This window comes from Homo sapiens, chromosome 12 (genome assembly GCF_000001405.40).
Source record: "Homo sapiens chromosome 12, GRCh38.p14 Primary Assembly".
NCBI lineage: Eukaryota > Metazoa > Chordata > Mammalia > Primates > Hominidae > Homo > Homo sapiens.
In genome coordinates this window covers 53,420,576-53,441,732 of record NC_000012.12, presented here as the reverse complement: position 1 = coordinate 53,441,732, position 21,157 = coordinate 53,420,576, and the positions used below count along the sequence as shown (strand labels likewise).

Below are 21,157 nucleotides of genomic sequence, written 5' to 3'. Positions count from 1 at the left end.
CCCAGACCCCGTGCTTCGGCACCCGCCTCTGCTACTGCCTAATTGGTAATTATGTGGCCGCTCGACTGATGATTAGACAACAAACTAATCAATCACTCTGGTCCGACTGAGGAGGAAACGGTTGCTCTAGGGGCGGAGCGGAGCCCTTTACGGCTAGGCCAGTACCGAGAAGCCGGAAATCTCCTGGGGGCGGGGCTAGGCGGAGAGCGCTGGAGGGGGCGGGGCCAGCTGCTGGGCAAAGTCCTAGAGACACCGAGAAGAAACTCTTCCCTTGCTCTCTTACCTCATGGTTCACTGGGTGCAATACCTTGTAAAATGAATACACTATGGTAAGTGTTGTAATACAGATATAGACAGAGTTCTCGGCAAGGGCAGAAGAGCTGCTGAGTCCCAGCCCCAAGCCTCAATGTTCCCGGCTCCGTCTTACACTCGCAAGGGAAGCAAACAAACATTCTTGCGGAAGATACAGAGATTTCATAATCTCTCCCAGGATTCCCTCTCTCAATTGCATAGCTCCGCCATCTGTCAAGTAGCCTAAACCAGAAACCAAGGAGGGCGTCCGTGATCCCTCTGCCTCCTTCACCTCCCTTACCCCAAATTATCAGTTTTGTCTCTCAAATATATCTGGAATCTCTCCACTTCTCTCTGTCTTCCCTGCTCCAAACCTCCCATCATCTGTCGCCTGGATTCATCTCTCCCCTGAATTGCTACAATGGCCTCCCTACAATGGCCTCCCTTTTTTTTTTTTTTTTTTTTTTTGAGACGGAGTCTCGCTCTGTCACGAGGCTGGAGTGCAGTGGTGCGACCTCGGCTCACTGCAACCTCCGCTTCCCGGGTTCAAGCGATAATCCTGCCTCAGCCTCCGAAGTAGCTGGGACTACAGACGCGGCTAATTTTTCTATTTTTTAGTAGAGATGGGATTTCACCATGTTGGCCAGGATGGTCTCGCTCTCTTGACTTCGTGATCTGCCCGCCTCGGCCTCCCAAAGTGCTGGGATTATAGGCGTGAGCCACCGTACCCAGCCTTTAAAAAAAAAAAAAAAATACAAGTGGCCGGGCGCAGTGGCTCACGCCTGTAATCCCAGCACTTTGGGAGGCCGAGGCAGGCGGATCACAAGGTCAGGAGTTCGAGACCAGCCTGGCCAATATGGTAAAACCCCGTTTCTACTAAAAATACAAAAATTAGCCGGGCGTGGTGACATGTGCCTGTAATCCCAGCCACTTGAGAGGCTGAGGCAGGAGAATCGCTTGAACCCGGGAGGTTGCAGTGAACCGAGATCACGCCATAGCACTCCAGCCTGGGCAACAGAGCGAGACTCCATCTCAAAAAAAAAAAGAAAGAAAGAAAGAAAGAAAGTGAGCTAGGCATGGTGGCACATACCTGTAATCCCAGCTAGTGGGAAGGCTGAGGCATGAGAATCGCTTGAACCTGGGAGGGAGAGGGTGCAGTGAGCCAAGATCATGCCACTGCACTCCAGACTAAGCAACAGAGCAGGACTCTGTTTCAAAAAAAAAAAAAAAAAAAAGTGGGATACAAAAAAATTTAAGACAATAAATTTTATGCCAAATATGTCATATTAAACTAAAGCATTTGAAATATTTTAAACTTTTTTTCTTTTAATTTTTATTTTTAGTGCTGGGGTACATGTGCATGATGTGCAGGTTTGTTACATAGTTAAATGTGTGCCATGCTGGTTTGCTGCACAAATTTTGCTGCACCAATAAACCCATCAGCTAGGTATTAAGCCCAGCATGCATTAGCTATTTTTCCTAATATTCTCACTCCCCTGACCCTACCCCCCAACAGGCCCCAGTGTGTGTTGTTCCCCTCCTTGTGTCCATGTGTTCTTACTGTGTAGCTCCCACTTGAGTGAGAACATGTTCCTGCATGAGTTTGCTGAGGTTAATGGCTTCCAGCTTCATCCATGTCCCTATAAAGGACATGATCTCATTCCTTTTTATGGCTACATAGTATTCCATGGTATATATGTACCACAGTTTTTCAGTCTATTGTTGATGGGCATTTGGATTAATTCCATGTCTTTGCTATTGTGAATAGTGCTACAGTGAACATACACATGCATGTATGTTTGTAATAGAATGATTTATATTCCTTTGGGTATACACCCAGTAATGAGATTGCTGGGTCAAATGGTATTTCTGGTTCTAGATCTTTGAGGAATCGCCACATCGTCTTCCACAATGGTTGAACTAATTTACACTCCCACCAACAGTGTAAAAATGTTCCTATTTCTCCACAACCTTGCCAGCATCTGGATTTTGGTTTTGGGTTTTTTTTTTTTTTTGAGACTGAGTCTTGCTCTGTCGCCCAGGCTGAAGTGCAGTGGCAGGATCTCAGCTCACTGCAACCTCTGCCTCCCGGGTTCAAGCGATTCTCCTGCCTCAGCCTCCCGAGTAGCTAGAATTACAGGTGCCTGCCGCCACACCTGCCATATATATATACATATATATATTTGTATTTTTAGTAGAAACAGGGTTTCACCATGCTGGCCAGGGTGGTTTCAAACTCCTGACCTCAAGTGATTCACTCACCCTTGGCCTCCCAAAGTGCTAGGGTTACAGGCATGAGCCACCAGGCCTGGCCTGTTATTTCTTGACTTTTTAATAATCACCATTCTGACTGGCATGAGATAGTATCTCATTATGGTTTTGATTTACATTTCTCTAATGTTCAGTGATGTTGAGCTTTTTTTCATGTTTGTTGGCTGCATATCTTCTTTTTTTTTTTTTTTTTTTTTTTTTTTGAGACGGAGTCTCTCTCTGTCGCCCGGGCTGGAGTGCAGTGGCGGGATCTCGGCTCACTGCAAGCTCCGCCTCCCGGGTTCACGCCATTCTCCTGCCTCAGCCTCCCAAGTAGCTGGGACTACAGGCGCCCGCCACTACGCCCGGCTAATTTTTTGTATTTTTTAGTAGAGACGGGGTTTCACCGTTTTAGCCGGGATGGTCTCGATCTCCTGACCTCGTGATCCGCCCGCCTCGGCCTCCCAAAGTGCTGGGATTACAGGCGTGAGCCACCGCGCCCGGCCGGCTGCATATCTTCTTTTGAGAAATGTCTGTTAATGTCCTTTGCCCCCCCCTTTTTTTTTTGAGACGGAGTCTCGCCCTGGCCCCGTTGTCCAGGCTGGAGTGCAGTGGCACGATCTTGGCTCACTGCAAGCTCCGCCTCCCAGGTTCGCACCATTCTCCTGCCTCAGCCTCCCGAGTAGCTGGGACTACAGGCACCCGCCACCGTGCCTGGCTAATTTTTTATATTTTTAGTAGAGACGGGGTTTCACCCTCTTAGCCAGGATGATCTTGATCTCCTGACCTCGTGATCCGCCCGCCTCGGCCCCCCAAAGTGCTGGGATTATAGGCGTGAGCCACCGCACCTGGCCTTTTGCCCACTTTTTTTTTTTTTTTCCTATCTCTTTTTTTTTTTTTTTTTTAATTGATCATTCTTGGGTGTTTCTCGCAGAGGGGGATTTGGCAGGGTCATAGGACAATAGTGGAGGGAAGGTCAGCAGATAAACAAGTGAACAAAGGTCTCTGGTTTTCCTAGGCAGAGGACCCTGCGGCCTTCCCCAGTGTTTGTGTCCCTGGGTACTTGAGATTAGGGAGTGGTGATGACTCTTAACGAGCATGCTGCCTTCAAGCATCTGTTTAACAAAACACATCTTGCACCGCCCTTAATCCATTTAACCCTGAGTGGACACAGCACATGATTCAGAGAGCACCGGGTTGGGGGTAAGGTCATAGATCAACAGCATCCCAAGGCAGAAGAATTTTTCTTAGTACAGAACAAAATGGAGTCTCCTATGTCTACTTCTTTCTACACAGACACAGCAACAATCTGATTTCTGTATCTTTTCCCCACATTTCCCCCTTTTCTATTCGACAAAACCGCCATCGTCATCATGGCCCGTTCTCAATCAGCTGTTGGGTACACCTCCCGGACGGGGTGGCGGCAGGGCAGAGGGGCTCCTCACTTCCCAGAAGGGGCGGCCGGGCAGAGGCACCCCCCACCTCCCGGACGGGGCGGCTGGCCGGGCGGGGGCCGCCCCCCACCTCCCTCCCGGACGGGGAGGCTGGCCGTTGCCCACTTTTTAATGGGGTTGTTTTTTTCTCGTAAATTTGTTTGAGTTTCTTCTAGATTCTGGATATTAGACACTTTGGCAGATCACAAAAATTTTCTCCCATTCTGTAGGTTGCCTGTTTGTTCTGATGATAGTTTCTTTTGCTGTGCAGAAGCTCTTTAGTTTAATTAGATCACATTTGTCAATTTTTGCTTTTATTGCGATTGCTTTTGGTGATCCCATCATGAAATCTTTGCCCATGCCTATGTCCTGAGTGGTATTGCCTAGACAGTGTTCTTTTATTCTGAAATAATTTTAGACTCACAAGAAGTTGTAAAATTTACCCAGCTTCCCCCAGTGATAGTATCTTACATAACAAGACTATCTTTTGACTGAGTGGGGTGGCTCATGCCTGTAATCCCAGCACTTTGGGAGGCTGAGACTGGTGGATTCCCTTGAGCTCAGGAGTTCGAGACCATCCTGGCCAACATGGTGAAATCTTGTCTCTACAAAAAATAGAAAAATTAGCTGGGCATGGTTGTGTGCGCCCATAATCCCAGCTACTTACGAGGCTGGGGTGGTAGGATCACTGGAGCCTGGGAGACAGAAGTTACAGTGAGTCAAGATCATGCCACTGAACTCCAGTCTCACTCACAGAATGAGACCCTGTCTCAAAACAAACAGGCTGGGCACGGTGGCTCACGCCTGTAATCCCAGCACTTTGGGAGGCCGAGGCGGGCAGATCACGAGGTCAGGAGATCGAGACCATCCTGGCTAACAGGGTGAAACTCTGTCTCTACTAAAAATACAAAAAATTAGAGGGGCGTGGTGGCTGATGCCTGTAGTCCTAGCTACTCAGGAGGCTGAGGCAGGAGAATGGCATGAACTTGGGAGGCGGAGCTTGTAGTGAGCCAAGATCATGCCACTGCACTCCAGCCGGGGTGACAGAGGGACACTCCATCTCAAAAAAACAAAACAAAAACAAACAAATACTACATTTTGATATATTTTTATATTAGGTTTGTGCAAAATACTTGAAATAATTTGGAAGGTTTTCTAAACTCTAGGAAACTTAGATATACACATTGTTTCTTTCTTGGAAGATTATCAAGTTTCAAAAAAGTATTGGCCGGGTGCGGTGGCTCACACCTGTAATCCCAGGACTTTGGGAGGTCACCAGGCGGGTGGATCACGAGGTTGGGATTTTGAGACTATCCCAACCAATGTGGTGAAACTCCATCTGTACTAACAATACAAAAATTAGCCGGGCATGGTGGCATGCGCTGTAATCCCAGCTACTTGGGAGACTGAGACAGGAGACTCCCTTGAACTAGGGAGGCAGAGGTTGTAGTGAGCCGAGATCGCACAACTGCACTCCAGTTTGGGGGCAACAGAACAAGACTCTGTCTCAAAAAAAAAAAAAAAAAAAAAGTTTGCCTACTCCAGACATTTCTTTTTCTTTTCTTTTCTTTTCTTTTTTTTTTTTTTTTTTTTGAGATGGAGTTTCGCTCTTGTTGCCCAGGCTGGAATGCAATGGCGTGATCTCGGCTCACCACAACCCCAGTCTCCCAGGTTCAAGCGATTCTCCTGTCTCAGCCTCCCAAGTAGCTAGGATTACAGACATGTGCCACCACGCCTGGCTAATTTTGTATTTTTAGTGGATACGGGGTTTCTCCATGTTAGTCAGGCTGGTCTCAAACTCCCGACTTCAGGTGATCTGCCTGCCTCCGCCTCCCAAAGTAATGGGATTACAGGCGTGAGCCACTGCACCGGGCCCAGTTTCTAAAAAGTGTATTTACATGCCTAATACTTCTCCACAAGCATGCAATCACTACTCATGGGAATATCACATTAGGCAAACACTGGATTTGGTAAACTCATCTTCACAATTGGGACTTTCATATTTTATCATTTTATCACAGAATCATGGAACTATAGGGTTGGAAATGACTTAGAGAAACATTCATTCAATTTCCTGAGAAAAATAAACTTTTCTAAGAGTTCACAGTTAGGAGAGACAAGATTATAACCTATATTTTTTGGCTTTAAGCAATCTCCTTTTTTTTTTTTTTTTTTTTTGAGACAGTCTCGCTCTGTCGCCCAGGCTGTGGCGCAATCTCGGGTCACTGCAAGCTCCGCTTCCCGGGTTCATGCATTCTCCTGCCTCAGCCTCCCAAGCAGCTGGGACTACAGGTGCCGGCCACCACAGCCAGCTAATTTTTTGTATTTTTAGTAGAGATGGGGTTTCACCATGTTAGCCAGGATGGTTTCGATCTCCTGATCTCGTGATCAGCCCACCTCAGCCTCCCAAAGTGCTGGGATTACATGGGTGAGCCACCGTGCCCAGCCTAATTTTTGTATTTTTAATAGAGACGGGGTTTCACCATGTTGGCCAGGCTGGTCGCAAACTCCTGACCTCAGGTGATCCACCTGCCTCGGCCTCCCAAAATGCTGGGATTACAGGTGTGAGCCACCACGCCCAGCCCATAGATTTACTTTTGATTGAACATAGCCTTATGCTCATCAGCATGTTTGTACACTCTTTTCTTTTTTTCTTTCTTTCTTTCTTTTTTTTTTTTTTTTTGAGACAGTCTGGCTCCGTTGCCCAGGCTGGAGTGCAGTGGTGCCATCTCAGCTCACTGCATCCTCCACCTCCCGGGTTTAAGCAATTCTGCCTCAGTCTCCTGAGTAGCTGGGATTACAGGTGCGCACCACCACGCCCAGCTGACTTTTGTATTTTTAATAGAGACAGGGTTTCACCATGTTGGTCAGGCTGGTCTCGAACTCTTGACCCGCCCCCTTCGGCCTCCCAAAGTGCTGGGATTACAGGCGCGTGCCACTGGGCTCAGGTTTTTTTTGTTTTGTTTTGTTTTTTGAGACGGAGTCCAGGCTAGAGTGCAGTGGTGCGATCTCGGCTCCCTACAACCTCCACCTCCCAGGTTCGAGCCATTCTCCTGCCTCAGCCTCCTGAGTAGCTGGGACTACAGGCACGTGCCACCACACTTGGCAAATTTTTGTATTTTTAGTAGACATGGGGTTTCACCATGTTGGCCAGGCTGGTCTAGAACTCCTGACCTCAGGTGATCCGCACTCCTCAGCCTCCCAAAGTGTTGGGATTACAGGCGTGAGCCATCGTGCCCAGCCAAACATTTTTAAGGGCTGAAAGTCTTTGCTTTGTTATTTAAAAGCTGTGTGACCTTAGATGTGTTTCTAAATTTCTCTGAGCCCTCTTCCTCTGTAAATGGTACTCACAGGATTGTCATGAAAAACCCAAGAACACTGTTGAGCAGAGGCAAGACATAATGAAAGTTAGGAGATTATCCAGGCCGGGTGCAATGGCTCACACCTGTAATCCCAGCACGTTGGGAGGCCAGAGTGGATGGATCACCTGAGGTCAGGAGTTTGAGACCAGCCTAGCCCACATGGTGAAACCTGTCTCTATGAAAAATACAAAAATTAGCCGGGCATGGTGGCACATGCCTGTAGTCCCAGCTACTTGGGAGGCTGAGGCAGGAGAATCGCTTGAATCTGGGAGATGGAGGCTGCAGTGAGCCAAGATCGGACCACTGCACTCCAGCCTGGGCAATACTCCATCTGAAAAAAAATTTCTTTTAAAAATAAAGAATATCCAAAGAGTACTGTTTAGCCTAGATCAGGGGAAACATAACCTACCAAGGGGTAACTGTAGTAGTTGGGCCCTGCCAGGCCTAGGAAGAAGGAAAGAGGGATGGTGCCCAGAAGCAGGCCCTGCCCATCAAAGTATGATGTAGGTTGATTAAGAAAGAAAAAGAGCCGGGCACGGTGGCTCATGCCTGTAATCCCAGCACTTTGGGAGGCCGAGGAGGGTGGATCACCTGAGGTCAGGAGTTCGAGACCATCCTGGCTAATATGGTGAAACCCCGTCTCTACTAAAAATACAAAAAATTAGCTGGGCGTGGTGGTGGGCGCCTGTAATCCCAGCTACTCCAGAGGCTGAGGCAGGAGAATGGCATGAACCCGGGAGGCAGAGTTTGCAGTGAGCCAAGATTGCGCCACTGCACTCCAGCCTGAGCAACAGAGTGAGACTCCGTCTCAAAAAAAAAAAAAAAAGAAAGAAAAGAAGGCCAGGTGCAGAGGCTTATGCCTGTAATCCCAGCACTTTGGGAGGCCAAGACGGGTGGATCTCGAGGTCAGGAGTTTGAGACCAGTCTGGCCAACATAGTGAAACCCCGTCTCTACTACAAAATACAAAAAACTAGCTGGGCGTGGTGGCGGGCGCCTGTAGTCCCAGCTACTTGGGAGGCTGAGGCAGGAGAATCAGTTGAACCCGGGAGGCAGAGGTTGCAGTGAGCTGAGATCCCGCCATTGTACTCCAGCGTGAGCAACAGAGCGAGACTCCGTCTCAAAAAAATAAAAGAAAAGAAAAAGGAGAAGTAGCCCCTGCCTAGGCTGCCTCAGTGGGACTTGAGAACTGACTGGATGTGGATGAGAGCTGGGTCACAGAAAGGGACAAGAACATGCTCCTGGGAAACTCCTCTCAGTTAAGACACAGCTCAAGCATCCTGTGCTCTGTGAAGCATTCCTGCTCAAGTCTCTCCTGTTACCCCCAGGACAGCGTACAGGAACCCAACAATGTGGTGTGCAGGTCTTTAAGCACTGTTAGGGCAGTGATTTTGTTGTCTTTACCCTTCTTTCCCCAGTGCCCACCATGAGATCCCACCTTTAAAAATAAATGTTGAGGCTGGGTGTGGTGTCTCATACTTGTAATCCCAGCACTTTGGGAGTCCTAGGCAGGTGGATCGCTTGAGCCCAGGAGTTCAAGACCAGCCTGGGCAACATGGAAAAACCTTGTCTCTATGAAAAAATACAAAAATTAGCCAGGTGTGGTGGCACACATCTGTAGTCCCAGCTACTTGGGAGGCTGAGCTGGGAGGATCGCTTGAGCCCAGGAGGTCAAGGATGCTGTGAGCTATGATCACAGCCTGAGTAACAGAACAAGAGCTTATCTCAAAAATAAAAATAAAAATAATCAACAATTTACTTTGGGAGGCTGAAGCGGACAGATCACAAGGTCAGGAGATCAAGACCATCCTGGCTAACATGGTGAAACCCCATCTCTACTAAAAATACAAAAAAATTAGCTGGGCGTGGTGGCGGGCGCCTGTAGTCCCAGCTACTTAGGAGGCTGAGGCAGGAGAATGGCATGAACCTAGGAGGCGGAGCTTGCAGTGAGCCAAGATCGTGCCACTGCACTCTAGCCTGGGCGACAGAGCAAGACCCCCGTCTCTAAATAAATAAATAAATAAAATTTAAAAAATAATAAACAATTTAAAATGCTGGGTGCAGTGGTTCATGCCTGTAATCCCAGAACTTTGGGACACTGAGGAAGGAGGACTGCTTGAGCTCAGGAGTTTGAGACCAGCCTGGGCAACATACCAAGACTTCACCTGTACAAAAAATAAAAAATCAGGTGGGGCGCGGTGGCTCATGCCTGTAATCCCAGCACTTTGGGAGGCCGAGGTGGGCAGATCACAAGGTCAGGAGATGGAGACCATCCTGGCTAACAGGGTGAAACCCCGTCTCTACTAAAAATAAAAAAAATTAGCCGGGTGTGGTGGTGGGCGCCTGTAGTCCCAGCTGCTCGGGAGGCTGAGGCAGGAGAATGGCGTGAACCCGGGAGGCGGAGCTTGCACCGAGCCGAGACTGTGCCACTGCACTCCAGCCTGGGTGACAGAGTGAGACTCTGTCTCAAAAAAAAAAAAAATAGCTGGGTATCGTGGTCCATGCCTGTGGTCCCTCCTACTCAGGAGGCTGAGGCAGGAGGATCACAAGAGCCCAGGGAGGACAAGGCTGCAGTGAGCCGTGATCGTGTCATTGCACTCCAGACTGGACAGAGACTCTGTCTCCAAAAAAAGAAACCAGATAAATAAATAAAAATAAATGTTAGTGGAAAAGAAGAGAGACAAGAGGGTCCCTGGATTACAGGAATAGAGGAAGGACCAAGGATATGCATCAGGAAAGCTGACTTTATTCTCTTTCCTGTGCACACCTACCCCAAGTCACTGGTCAGAACTGATGTGGACTGGATGCCCGCAGAAGAATCCAAGGATTCGGCAGGTGGGAAATGCAGTGATGAGGCAGACAAGACAGCTATACAATCGCCATATTTATGTTGGCATGTACATTGATGACACATAAACTGCATATTTACACAGGAGAAAGGGTACAGGCAGGCTGAGGATTCCTGGAACAAGGGCCTTGCTGAACGCTGAAGTGGCAGGCACTCCGCTGAGGCCTACAGGGGAGGATGGTAGGGGCAGGAATTGAAGTACAGTCTTCTGGGCAGAGAGGTGGGCAGCCACGTGGACAGCTCTCTGGAAAGGGGTGGCTCTCTTGAGGATGGGCCAAGGCAGCCAGGCGCTGCTGTACACACTCAGCTGTCAGCCGTGCTTCTGGGTCTGCATCCCAACAGTCTTCTAGGAGCTCCCTCAGCCCATCAGGGTCCTGGGGGGAATGACAGGGAGGAAGGGTTGACCCTAGGATCTTGAGTGGGCCCCAGGGTTAAAAGCCATCTTCAGTGTCCATCACTCTCCTGCTTTCAACATCCACTTCTGATCTTTCCTGGAGCCTCCCTCCTCTCCCTCTTGCTGAATTCCAGCCCTCTGAGTCTTGCTCCCTATGAAACAGGCTCTCTGGGGGCCTTCTGTATAGCCCACTGTTTCCTCTGAGGAGCTAATGTAGGTTGACAGCTTAATATGCTAATGGGAAATTACTCTCTTTCCTCTCAGAGAGCCAGAGTCTTCTGCAAGTAATGCCCAGTTTCTGTCAGCCAACCTAAGACTTGTGCCGTGGAAATTTCAGATCAGGTACAGAAGGGACATTTTGTTAAAAAAGTATTTGTGCAAAGCCCTGAACTTTCACTGTGACGCCACTGCTTTCACCTTTTATACCTAGAACTGCCTTTTATTGGGTCACAGCAGAAACATCATCAATGTATGACAGAATGGGGACTTATTGAATTGATTTTTGGGCTTTACTGTATTAGGAGAGCAGATGGGGCAGAGCTCAGGGCAAGAGCAAAGCCAAGGAGGGCTTCCTGGAGAAGGGGACTGAGGAACAGGGCTAACTGATGGCAGAGAGGAGAGACAGGCTGGGCAAGGTTGAGCAGGAGGAAGGTGTGTGTCTCAGGTAGATGGAATCGACTGTGTGAGACTTAGGGTGGAAGAGGATGAACTGACGGGGAGAGGAGGCTTGCCCAGTTCCAGCTGAGCATGAACCAAGGAGTGATGGGAGATAAGTGGAGATAGGAGTAGACAGACACTCTGGCAGAGACGTCCTTGAAGCCCATGCCCAGCCCCCACTCTCCAGGTTCCCAGACCAACAGCCTAGGCCTCTTACTGTGGCAAAGCAGCGCCAGGTGGATGGGATGTAGGGACGCCTCCTCTCCTGCACTGCCAAGGCCCATAGCTCATCAGAGGTAGGGGTATTGCCCAGTTCTGCCTCATAGGCCAGTTGGAAGGGTGGTGGACTGCTGTCTGGAGGAAGGTAGAGGGGCTGGGTATCAGTTAGTCCTAGGGGTGCCTACCATGTAGAAAGGGCAAGACAGGGAAGAGCAGAGCTTTCTCAGGCCAGGTCAGGTTGGGGTGAACCTAGAATGGGCGGGGGGGAGCCCAGGAGAGGGGACTGTACCACCCATCCTTACCAGGCCTCAAATCTGGGCAGCGGCTCAGTATCTCCCACAGGAGCAGAGCCAAAGAGTAAATATCAGCTCGTCGGAGGGCCATGCCCCAATCCTGTAGGTCCAGAGTCTTGTCCAAGAGCTCTGGTGCCATGTACCTCTGGGTGCCAGCCTGGAGAGCAAGGCACGAAGGGCCAAGAATCATCTCTGTGGCAATCCTCATTGCAGCAATGGTCCATGCAATATCCCCCCAACTACAGACTCAGCAATGTCCCAAATGCTATAGGTATTGCTACAACTGTTGACACACAATGGCTGCATTGCCATCAGCAGCACCAACATCATCCTGGGCCTCACCAGTTATCCAGAGAACTCACTTCCATGATGGCAGCTGGGCCTTGTGGTTGAGTAGGGGTCCAGGCAGGGGGCTGAGTGAGGCCAGGGAGCACCAAGGCAAGGCCCAGGTCTCCAATGGCACACGATCCATCTTCCCGAATGAGCACATTCTGGCTGCTCAGATCTCGGTGGGCAATACCTGGTTTATATTGGCCTGTGGGGGAATCCAAGGTTGAAGGAACATGGATTTTCTTCCTCCCTCTTTTTTTTTTTTTGAGTCGGCGTCTCGCTCTGTCGCCCAGGCTGGAGTGCAGTGTCGCGATCTCGGCTCACTGCAACCTCCGCCTCCCGGGTTCAAGTGATTCTCCTGCCTCAGCCTCCCGAGTAGCTGGGACTACAGGCACATGCCACCACGCCCGGCTAATATTTTGTATTTTTAATAGAGACAGGGTTTCACCATGTTAGCCAGGATGGCCTCGATCTCCTGACCTTGTGATCCGCCCACCTCGGCCTCCCAAAGTGCTGGGATTATAGGCGTGAGCCACCGTGCCCGGCTCTTCCTCCCTCTTTTGACCCAATCTTTCCCCTCCAAACTAAGGCAGAATCACAAACATAGCACTGTGGCTCCCTTGACTTCCTATGCCCAGCTCACCCACCATTCTGCCAGCGCTCCTCATGGAGAAATGCCAGGCCCTGGGCCAGGGACAGTGCCATCCGCAGGGAACTTCCCCAGTCACTGGTGTACTGGGTCAAGTAGTGGCACAGGGAGCCCTGGGGAAACGCAGAGAGAAAAGGATGGTACACAAAGCTGGAGACGGCTGATCCATCCCAGGGAGCAGAGATCAATTGACAGTCTTCTCCCTGCATCTCCCCAGCAGACAGACACACTGATGGATGCTGGCCAAGACAATAGGTAGAGGAGTAAGACTGTGCATCAATTGACATGAAAAATAGTAACTCTAGATCAAGGGTACTGGGCACTTACTGTGGTCCAGACCCAGTGGATGTGGCCTCCTGTAATCCTTGTGAAAACCCTAGAAGGTAGGTGCTCCTGTCACACCCCCATTTAACAGATGAAGAGCTTTTCCTTACAGAACTAAGGAAACTCTCTTGAAGTCAGTCGGTGAGGCAGGAGTGGAGCTTGAATCCAAGCAGTCTGACTCAGGATCACTTACTAATAACCACCACCTTATACTGACTCAGAAGACATGCGGCAAAGACAGTAACAGAGGAGGCAGGGCAAGCTAGTCAGGGGCATCCTTCATGAGTCACCTTGTCTGAGGTGTCAGGCATGTGTACACATAGACGGGCAGAGCCAGTAGATAACAGAGTAGCAGGTGGAGGGCAAGTGGGAATTGGAGGGAAGGGAGCAATAGAACCCCTCATTCAACAAGTGTCATCGAGCACCTTCGGTGGCCACGAACTGTGTTCAGGCACCAAGATGGCTCAGGGAAGGTAAGAGATAAAGAATGCAGTAAACCCCAAGATAGGAAAATTAACCGAGTGCCAAGGGGCATAAAGCAAGAATGACTAACCCTGCCTGGAGAAGTCAGAGAAATTAAACAAACAAAAAAACAGTGATTTTTGAGCTGGGCCAGGAGGTATATGGTCAAAGAAGGGACTTTCCATCATTCAAGATTTCAGAAGTACAGAAGCTGTAGGTGCTGAAAAAGTTCAGGGAAGAGCCACTGCATTTGGGCTCTGAAACAGGTGGTGGAGGTTGAACTACTTACAATAGGGCAAAGTGAGTTGTGGGGAGCTCTTCCACGTGGACAGAGACACACACAGTCCTGATGGAGGGGTAAACAGGAGGCAATAGACACGATGATGAGGAGCCAGCTCTAGAGTCACATAGATTCTGGGCAAATGACTTTCCTTTTCTGAGCCCCATGTGGATAATCATTCCTATCTCATAATGTGTTTGTGAAGGGTAAGTTTGGAAATGTGTTTAAAGCGTGTAGCATGGCCGGGCGGGGTGGCTCACGCCTGTAATTCCAGCACTTTGGGAGGCCGAGGCAGGCAGATCACTTGAGGTCAGGAATTTGAGACCAGCCTGGCCAACAGGGTGAAATCCCGTCTCTACTAAAAATACAAAAATTAGCCAGGAGTAGTGGCGGCACGCCTTAATCCCAGCTACTCAGGTGGCTGAGGCAGAATTGCTTGAAACCAGGAGGTAGAGGCTGCAGTGAGCCAAGATTGTGCCACTGCACTCTAGCCTAGTCAACAGAATGAGACTCTGTCTAAAAAATAAAATAAAATAAAATAAAATAAAAAGCGGGTAGCGTAATGCCTAGCAGGAAGCAGATGGGAAATGGTATGAAAACTTAAAAAGCCCCAAATATTTAACAGGCCCACAGGGCCTGGTGTGGCTGGCCTCTGCCTACCTTTTCCTCTTCTTGTTGCTCATTGCTCTCCCCTTCAAGTCACATCTTATTATTCTTATAGTTCATTGGCCCTCTCTCCTAGCACTTAGCACACTTGACATTTGACACTCGTGTTTACTTGATCCATTTCTGTCTCCCCTGCTAGTCTATAAAATCTGTAAAAGAGGGACTGTGTGTTTTTTGTGGCCTCTAGCATAGTGCCTGACATATAGTTCATACTTATTTGTTGAATGAATACGAATGAGTTTGGAGGGCTGTGCCTGAAGATATTTCTTTAACAATTTTTTTTTTTTTTTTTTTGGCTGGGCACGGTGTCTCACACCTGTAATCCCAGCACTTTGGGGGGCTAAGATGGGTGGATCACTTGAGGTCAGGATTTTGAAACCAGCCTGGCCAACATGGTGAAACCCCGTCTCTACTAAAAATGCAAAAATTAGCCAGGCGTGGTGGCAAGCGCCTGTAATCCCAGCTACTGGGGAGGCTGAGGGAGGAGAATCGCTTGAACCTGGGATGCTGAGGTTGCAGTGAGCCAAGCTTGTGCCACTGCACTCCAGCCTGGGCAACAGAGCAAGACTCCGTCCTCCCACCAAAATAAAATAAAAATATATAAACATGTATTGTTTATGTAATAAAAAAGATAAATAAAAATTATTATTTTGAGACAGGGTCTTACTCTGTCACCTAGGCTGGAGTGCAGTGGCACAATCTTGGCTCACTGCCAGCCTTGACCTCCCCAGGCTCAGGTGCTCCTTCCACTTCAGCCTCCCAAGTAGCTGGGACCACAGGCATGTGCCATCACACCCAGCCAATTTTTTGTTTTTTGTAGAGGTGGGGTTTCACGGTGTTGCCCAGGCTGTTCTTGAATTCCTGGGTTCAAGTGATCCTCACACCTTGGCCTCCCAAAGTGCTGGGATTACAGGCGTCTGCCACCGTGCCCAGCCTGTTACTATTTTTTCACATGGTCTCGCTCTGTCTCCCAGGCTGGAGTGCAGTGGGATGCTCACGGCTCACTGCAGCCTCAACCTCCTAAGCTCAAGCGATCTTTCCACCTCAGCCTCCTGAGTAGCTGGGACTACAGGTGTGCACTGCCATGCTGAGCTAATTTTTGTAATTTTGCAGTGATGGGGTTTCCTCATATTGCCTAGGCTGGTCTTGAGCTCCTGGGCTTAAGCGATCCACCCACCTTGGCCTCCCAAAGTCCTGGGATTACAGGTGTGGGCCACCTCGCCTGGCCATTTTTAATGTTTTAGAAAAGAGAAAATCGAAAGCAGAAGCAATCAACAGGGCCCAGCTGCCATGTAGCCCCCACCTCTATACATACACACAGGCACACACACACACATATACACTCCTTGGTGCTCACCTTGGGATGCAGTTCCAGTACCAGCAGGGGCCCAGAGAGCAGGCGGCCAGGACCCCCCCGGCTGGCAGTGATAAATCGGACAATGTGGTCGTGCTGTAGGCCTGGAAGTTCGTACAATGCTCTCTCAGCTTGGAACTGAGCCACAGACCTCGGTGGGAAGGCCTTGATGGCAACCAGTTTTCCTTGCAGCTGCCCGGCCCAAACCACTGCATGACCTCCTTCCCGGATTACCTGCTGGGGACACTGTGCTGAGTGTGGGCCTCTGAGCTATAACAGGGCCAGGATTCCTCCCCAGCACAACCTCCAGGAGTGCCCAGAGGAGCCCTTCTCTCCCTCCCTGGGGCACCTGGGAGAAACACAGCTCAGGCAGCTCCTGCAGCTCCACACTCCAGTCCCTGCCTGAGTCTGGCCTTGGCTCTGGCACTGGCTCACCTCGCACTCTGTAGTTCTTTCGCTGTAGCAGGGCTGGAACAGACAAGAGCCTTAGGGTCAGGGTGCAAATGCATAGGGACAGGAAAAGGGACTTCGTGGAAAGGGAGCTTTGTGAGAGGTCATGGGAGTCCGGGAATCAGGCTATAGAGATCCCAAGACCATGGGGTCAGGGGTGCCTGGAGAGGGGTCAGAGCTTTTGGGGCAATGTCTTGGGGTCACAAGGGAGGGATGGGGTGGATTAGTACCCAAGATGATGCTGCCCAGCAGCAGCAGGAGGAGGAGGAACAGCCCCAGCAGCACCAGTGCCATCCAGATGGACTCACCTGGACATCAAGGCAAGAATGCAGGCTGGAGAGCACTGACCCAAACCTGCTCTCTGCTCTTCCCCTCCTGAGAGCTTGCGTCTCAACCCACCCCCACCCTGGTCACAAGACCCCTTATCTCCCAGTCACCAGGGCAACCAACTTCCCAAGGCCAGGAGGAGGAAAGCGTGGGGCGGGAGTAGGGTGAGAACTGGCCCTGGTTCCACCTCTCATCCTAACCTGGGCCCCAGCCCCCATCAGGCTTCAGTACCCTTGGGTGGCTACCTGGGGCAGCCTGGGGACCCTGGGAGCCAGGAGTCCCAGGGCTCCCTGGAGGAGGCAGATGGCTGTAATTGGCATTGCAGAAGTCAGTGCCACAGGAGCAGGTGAAGAGAGTGGAGCCAGGGCTGGGGTGGGCTCGGGGACTTGGGTCACAGTGGAGGGACTCACAGCCTGGCTCATCACTGTCTCGGCATCCTGATGGGATGGGATTAGGGGAAGAGGAGAGAAAGGGGGGGCAAGGAAGAAAGCACAATGGGGTGTGGAAACAGAGGGTAAATCCCTTCTCTATCAGAGGCGTCCCTTCCAGCTCTCATGGGCTTTTCTTTCCCACCAGATGTTCTATTTCTCCCCTTCCCCCTTGGTTGCCACCCACACCCCAGGATGTGTCTGTCTCCCACCCTAGCCATCACCTGCCATATACTTTGCCATTCACCTTGCATTTCCACCTGTGCCCGGTCTTGGGTCAGGTTCCAGATCCCAAAGCAGCAGCGGCTGTAGAGGCAGCGGATAGCTCTGGGGAGCTCTGTGCCTGTATCTAGCAGCTCTCCCAGTGTCTTTGTGCTTCCCCGCACTCCAGGGGCCTCAAAGAACACACAGGTTCGCCTGTTTGGGGGTGCTGAGGCCCAGGGTGGGGAAAGGAAAAGATTCAAGGTGGGAGTGAATGCAGAGGCAAAAAACTGGCCAAAAGAATAGACAAAACATGTTCCACATCCCAGCGTCAGTATGGTAAAGCCACAGGAGGAAGCAGGGTCAGCAGAGGCCTGGAACCTGAGCCCTGCCATGGGGACACATGGCTCTATCCTTCACCCTTACTCACCCAGCCCACTCACCACTCTTCCAAAGGGGTGGCTCTTGCTTCAAGCGCCCCTTTCCCTTGCTGGATGGATGGAGAGACCCTTCCCCTCCCTGTAGACACTTACCTTCCACAGCTGTGGGAAGTAATGCCCAAAGCCCCAAAGACCCTAGCATCTTGCTGGAGGATGGCAGCAGCAGAAGGAGAAGAGCATAAGCCAGCACAGCTGCCCCTGGCCAAATCTTTCTTCAGATACAGGGCATCCTGGGGCTTCTGATCCCTCAGTCCCCAACTCCGCCCCCCTCATCCTATCCCAGCCTCTGTGGGGGAGAAGGCTGCTGTGGGGGAGAGGGTGGGTGTGGGGAAAGCAGGGAAAGAAAGGGAGGAGCAGAGAACCAATCTCATATCCTCTTCTCTTCTGCAACCTCCTCTTTGCTCTGCATAGTGAGAGGAGGGGAACTTGGAGGCCCAGCTGAGAACCCAGTGATGCCTAATTTCAAATCTTTGCCCTTCCCTGACCTTGGAAGAAGATGCTGGACTCTGTTGACTCTTCTCAGGAGGAAACCAATGTGAGGTCAAATGCTTAGAGCCATTCAGCTCTGCCCAAGATCCTTTCTAGCCTAAGATCTCTTTATATTCAGGGTTCATATCTGCAACTGCTTGGGCAGAGGAAGGCCTCACAGCCCATATTAGAGGTTACCTTGTTTTCCAACTTAAGAATCAGAAAGTATACAAAACTTACCTGAATTTTTAAAAAACACATTGAAAACAGTAACAATGGTAAATTTTGCTATGTGGATTTTTTTTTTTTTTTTTTTGAGACGGAGTCTCGCTCTTCTCCCCCAGGCTGGAGTGCAGTGGCACGATCGCAGCTCACTGCAACCTCCGCCTCCTGGGTTCAAGCTATTCTCCTGCCTCAGCCTCCTGAGTAGCTGGGATTACAGGCGCCTGCCACCACACCTGGCTAATTTTTGTATTTTTAGTAGAGACGGGGTTTCACCATGTCAGCCAGGCTAGTCTCGAACTCCTTACCTCAGGTGATTTGCCCGCCTCGGCCTCCCAAAGTGCTGGGATTATAGGCGTGAGCCACCATGCCTAGCCGTGGATTTTACTTAAAAAAAAAAAACACATTGGTTCACAGGCTGAACAAATACCCATTATTAAGGAGGTAACAAATTTCTTATCAAGCACCTACTATGTGCTGGGGCACAGCTAGGGCTATGCATTTTACAATCATCTCATCTAATTCTCCCCTGAAATATTTATTATTATTATTTTATTTATTTATTTTTTGAGACCGAGTGTCGCTCTGTCACCAGGCTAGAGTGCAGTGGTGCCATCTTGGCTCACTGCAACCTCTGACTCCCTGGTTCAAGCGATTCTCCTGCCTCAGCCTCCCGAGTAGCTGGGATTACAGGCACGCACCACCATGTCCAGCTAATTTTTGTATTTTTAGTAGAGACAGGGTTTCACCATGTTGGCCAGGATAGTCTCGATCTCGTGACCTCGTGATCTGCCCGCCTTGGCCTCCCAAAGTGCTGGGATTACAAGTGTGAGCCACTGTGCCTGGCCTATTATTTTTATTATTTCCATTTTATAGGTAAGAAAACTGAACTTACGTAAGTCGCCCAAAGTCATTCAGCTAGGAAATAGCAGAGCTGGAATTTGAACTTAGGCAGGTCTGACTCCAAAGTCCAGGTTCTAGTCTTATTTTTATTATTATTTTTGTACTTTTAGTAGAGACGGAGTTTCACCATGTTGGCCAGGATGGGGTCGATCTTTTTTTTTTTTTTTTTTTTTTTGAGATGGAGTCTTGCTCTGTCGCCCAGGCTGGAGTGCAGTAGCGCGATCTCGGCTCACTGCAAGCTCTGCCTCCCGGGTTAACGCCATTCTCCTGCCTCAGCCTCCCGAGCAGCTGGGACTACAGGCGGCCGCCACCACGCCCGGCTAATTTTTTGTATTTTTAGTAGAGACGGGTTTTCACCGTGTTAGCCAGGATGGTCTTGATCTCCTGACCTCGTGATCCGCCCGCCTCGGCCTCTCAAAGTGCTGAGATTACAGGCGTGAGCCACTGCGCCCGGCCGAAGGGGTCGATCTCTTAACCTCGTGATCCCTCCGCCTCGGCCGCCCAAAGTGCTGGGATTGCAGGCGTGAGCCACCGCACCCGGCCGGCTCTATTCTTTGTATTACACTATACTGCCTGAAAGACGTACAAAATTCAACAATGAAAAAAAATTACCACTTAATACTATACTTGGACATTTGAATTTAAATTGTTGAGAAAATATGCATCATTACCTGCCAACAGGCCACTAACTAAAAAGGGAGGGTACAGTTCAAACTATCACCACCAGAGGTCAGCAGAGGAGAAATTCCCTGCTGCGGTGAGAGGGCAGAAAGTACCTCCTCTGATGACTAATACATATAGTATACCTCCTACATTTACTAAGCTTCAGGGACTATAAAATGTGAAGGGCGGGCACAGGATGTGGAGAGTTTCAGCATGGAGTTGGGAGGAGAGGGCTATGGCTTGTTCTGCAGTAGAGACAGAGGAGTCCAACTCCACCAGACTCTTTCCCAGAGTAAGAAACAACAGAAATAGGTAATCACTTCCACACCTGTGAGCCACTGGCTCCTTGAGAATTAAGAGTCAGAGGGGACTTGTTCTCTGTTTCCCTAGCTTTCTGTCCCCCTAGTGGCTTCCTGGAAACCCTTTCTTGGAATGATCTGGCTTAGACCAGGGAGGACAGTCTGAGTACCGACATTTTTTTTTTTTTTTTTTTTTGAGACGGAGTCTCGCTCTGTCACCCAGGCTGGAGTGCAGTGGTGCGATCTCGGCTCACTGCAACCTCTGCCTACCGGGTTCAAGCGATTCTCCGGCCTCAGCTTCCTGAGTAGCTGGGACTACAGGCGCATACCACCACGCCCGGCTAATTTTTGTATTTTTAGTAGAGACGGGGTTTCGCCATGTTGGCCAGGCTGGTCTCAAACTCCTGACCTCAGGTAATCCGCCCCCCTCGGCCTCCCAAAGTGCCGGGATTGCAGACGGGAGCCACTGCGCCCAGCTTGAGTACTGACTTTTTGATTCTGGGGTCTTTCTTCTGGGAAACCTGCATGAAAGGAAGAGATAGTAAAAGTTCCAGTAGTTGTGAAACAGCAGCGGGAGGAATGACCAGGGCTCGAGATAGCCGCCCATCCTTCTTTGGACCCTTCCAGGAGTCTGCAGGGCCTTGCCAGTGAGATGGAATGTTGTGCTTCCAGCTACTTTCCTTCACTAGCCCCAGATCAGATAAGTCTGGGGTGGTGTGTGTGGTGGGGTGTGAGGGGAGATTTGAAGGTGAAATAGCTTCTTTTGTCTGGAATGTCTCAGGAGACTATCTCCTCCAGAGTGGGAGCAGCGTAAGGATCAGGCAGAAAGGCAGTCTCCTCACCCAAAGCTTCGGATAACTAATTCTTTCCAAGATAGAAACATTCCAGTCAGGTTTATGGGAACTATACCTGCTCTGGGCTGTTAGGTTTTAGAGTTAAGATGGTG

At 50.0% G+C, this 21,157-nt stretch overlaps 1 protein-coding gene across 17 annotated transcripts, besides 6 other annotated features; it reads right to left on the bottom strand.

The window, feature by feature from the left end:
* Positions 2-151: a silencer, noted in NCBI's record as "silent region_4510". NCBI's record gives its function as "represses an Ori minimal core promoter by ATAC-STARR-seq in GM12878 lymphoblastoid cells {active_cell/tissue: GM12878}" and the evidence as "EXISTENCE:reporter gene assay evidence [ECO:0000049][PMID:35858748]".
* Positions 262-1,027: an enhancer, noted in NCBI's record as "H3K27ac-H3K4me1 hESC enhancer chr12:53834490-53835255 (GRCh37/hg19 assembly coordinates)". NCBI's record gives its function as "activates a minimal SCP1, AML or CMV promoter by ChIP-STARR-seq in naive H9 embryonic stem cells {active_cell/tissue: H9 hESC(naive)}" and the evidence as "EXISTENCE:reporter gene assay evidence [ECO:0000049][PMID:30033119]".
* Positions 442-531: an enhancer, noted in NCBI's record as "active region_6421". NCBI's record gives its function as "activates an Ori minimal core promoter by ATAC-STARR-seq in GM12878 lymphoblastoid cells {active_cell/tissue: GM12878}" and the evidence as "EXISTENCE:reporter gene assay evidence [ECO:0000049][PMID:35858748]".
* AMHR2 (anti-Mullerian hormone receptor type 2) lies at positions 10,061-17,878 on the bottom strand. 17 transcript variants are annotated; one of them, XM_011538173.2, is made up of 12 exons: positions 17,750-17,878; positions 17,263-17,445; positions 16,833-17,024; positions 16,491-16,568; positions 16,160-16,278; positions 15,814-16,047; positions 13,800-13,856; positions 12,723-12,837; positions 12,108-12,280; positions 11,755-11,902; positions 11,451-11,587; positions 10,061-10,556 (listed from the first exon to the last, which is right to left on the bottom strand). In XM_011538173.2, the coding sequence occupies exons 1-12, from the start codon at positions 17,796-17,798 to the stop codon at positions 10,260-10,262; spliced, it is 1,782 nt and encodes a 593-aa protein (XP_011536475.1). In that variant the 5' UTR covers positions 17,799-17,878; the 3' UTR covers positions 10,061-10,259. The 17 variants fall into 17 exon arrangements, with proteins under 17 accessions (XP_011536475.1, XP_011536476.1, XP_011536480.1 ...); XM_011538174.2 differs by having other exon boundaries at positions 15,814-16,044; XM_011538178.2 differs by having other exon boundaries at positions 15,814-15,914; positions 16,246-16,278.
* Positions 19,791-20,309: a transcriptional cis regulatory region, noted in NCBI's record as "candidate enhancer chr12.1897 targeted for multiplex CRISPR interference". NCBI's record gives its function as "positively regulates AMHR2 gene expression in K562 cells {active_cell/tissue: K562}" and the evidence as "EXISTENCE:mutant phenotype evidence [ECO:0000015][PMID:30612741]".
* Positions 19,791-20,560: a biological region, named in NCBI's record as "CRISPRi-validated cis-regulatory element chr12.1897". NCBI's record gives its function as "regulatory_interactions: AMHR2".
* Positions 19,994-20,560: an enhancer, noted in NCBI's record as "H3K27ac-H3K4me1 hESC enhancer chr12:53814957-53815523 (GRCh37/hg19 assembly coordinates)". NCBI's record gives its function as "activates a minimal SCP1, AML or CMV promoter by ChIP-STARR-seq in primed H9 embryonic stem cells {active_cell/tissue: H9 hESC(primed)}" and the evidence as "EXISTENCE:reporter gene assay evidence [ECO:0000049][PMID:30033119]".

Coding starts and splice junctions, on each gene's coding strand:
- AMHR2 (XM_011538173.2), bottom strand. CDS start 17,798: ATGCTAGGGTCTTTGGGGCTTTGGGCATTACTTCCCACAGCTGTGGAA. Junction 16,569..16,832: donor GGGTCCCCAGGCTGCCCCAG/GTAGCCACCCAA, acceptor CTTGATGTCCAG/GTGAGTCCATCTGGATGGCA. Junction 16,279..16,490: donor GCTGGGCAGCATCATCTTGG/GTACTAATCCAC, acceptor TGTCTGTTCCAG/CCCTGCTACAGCGAAAGAAC.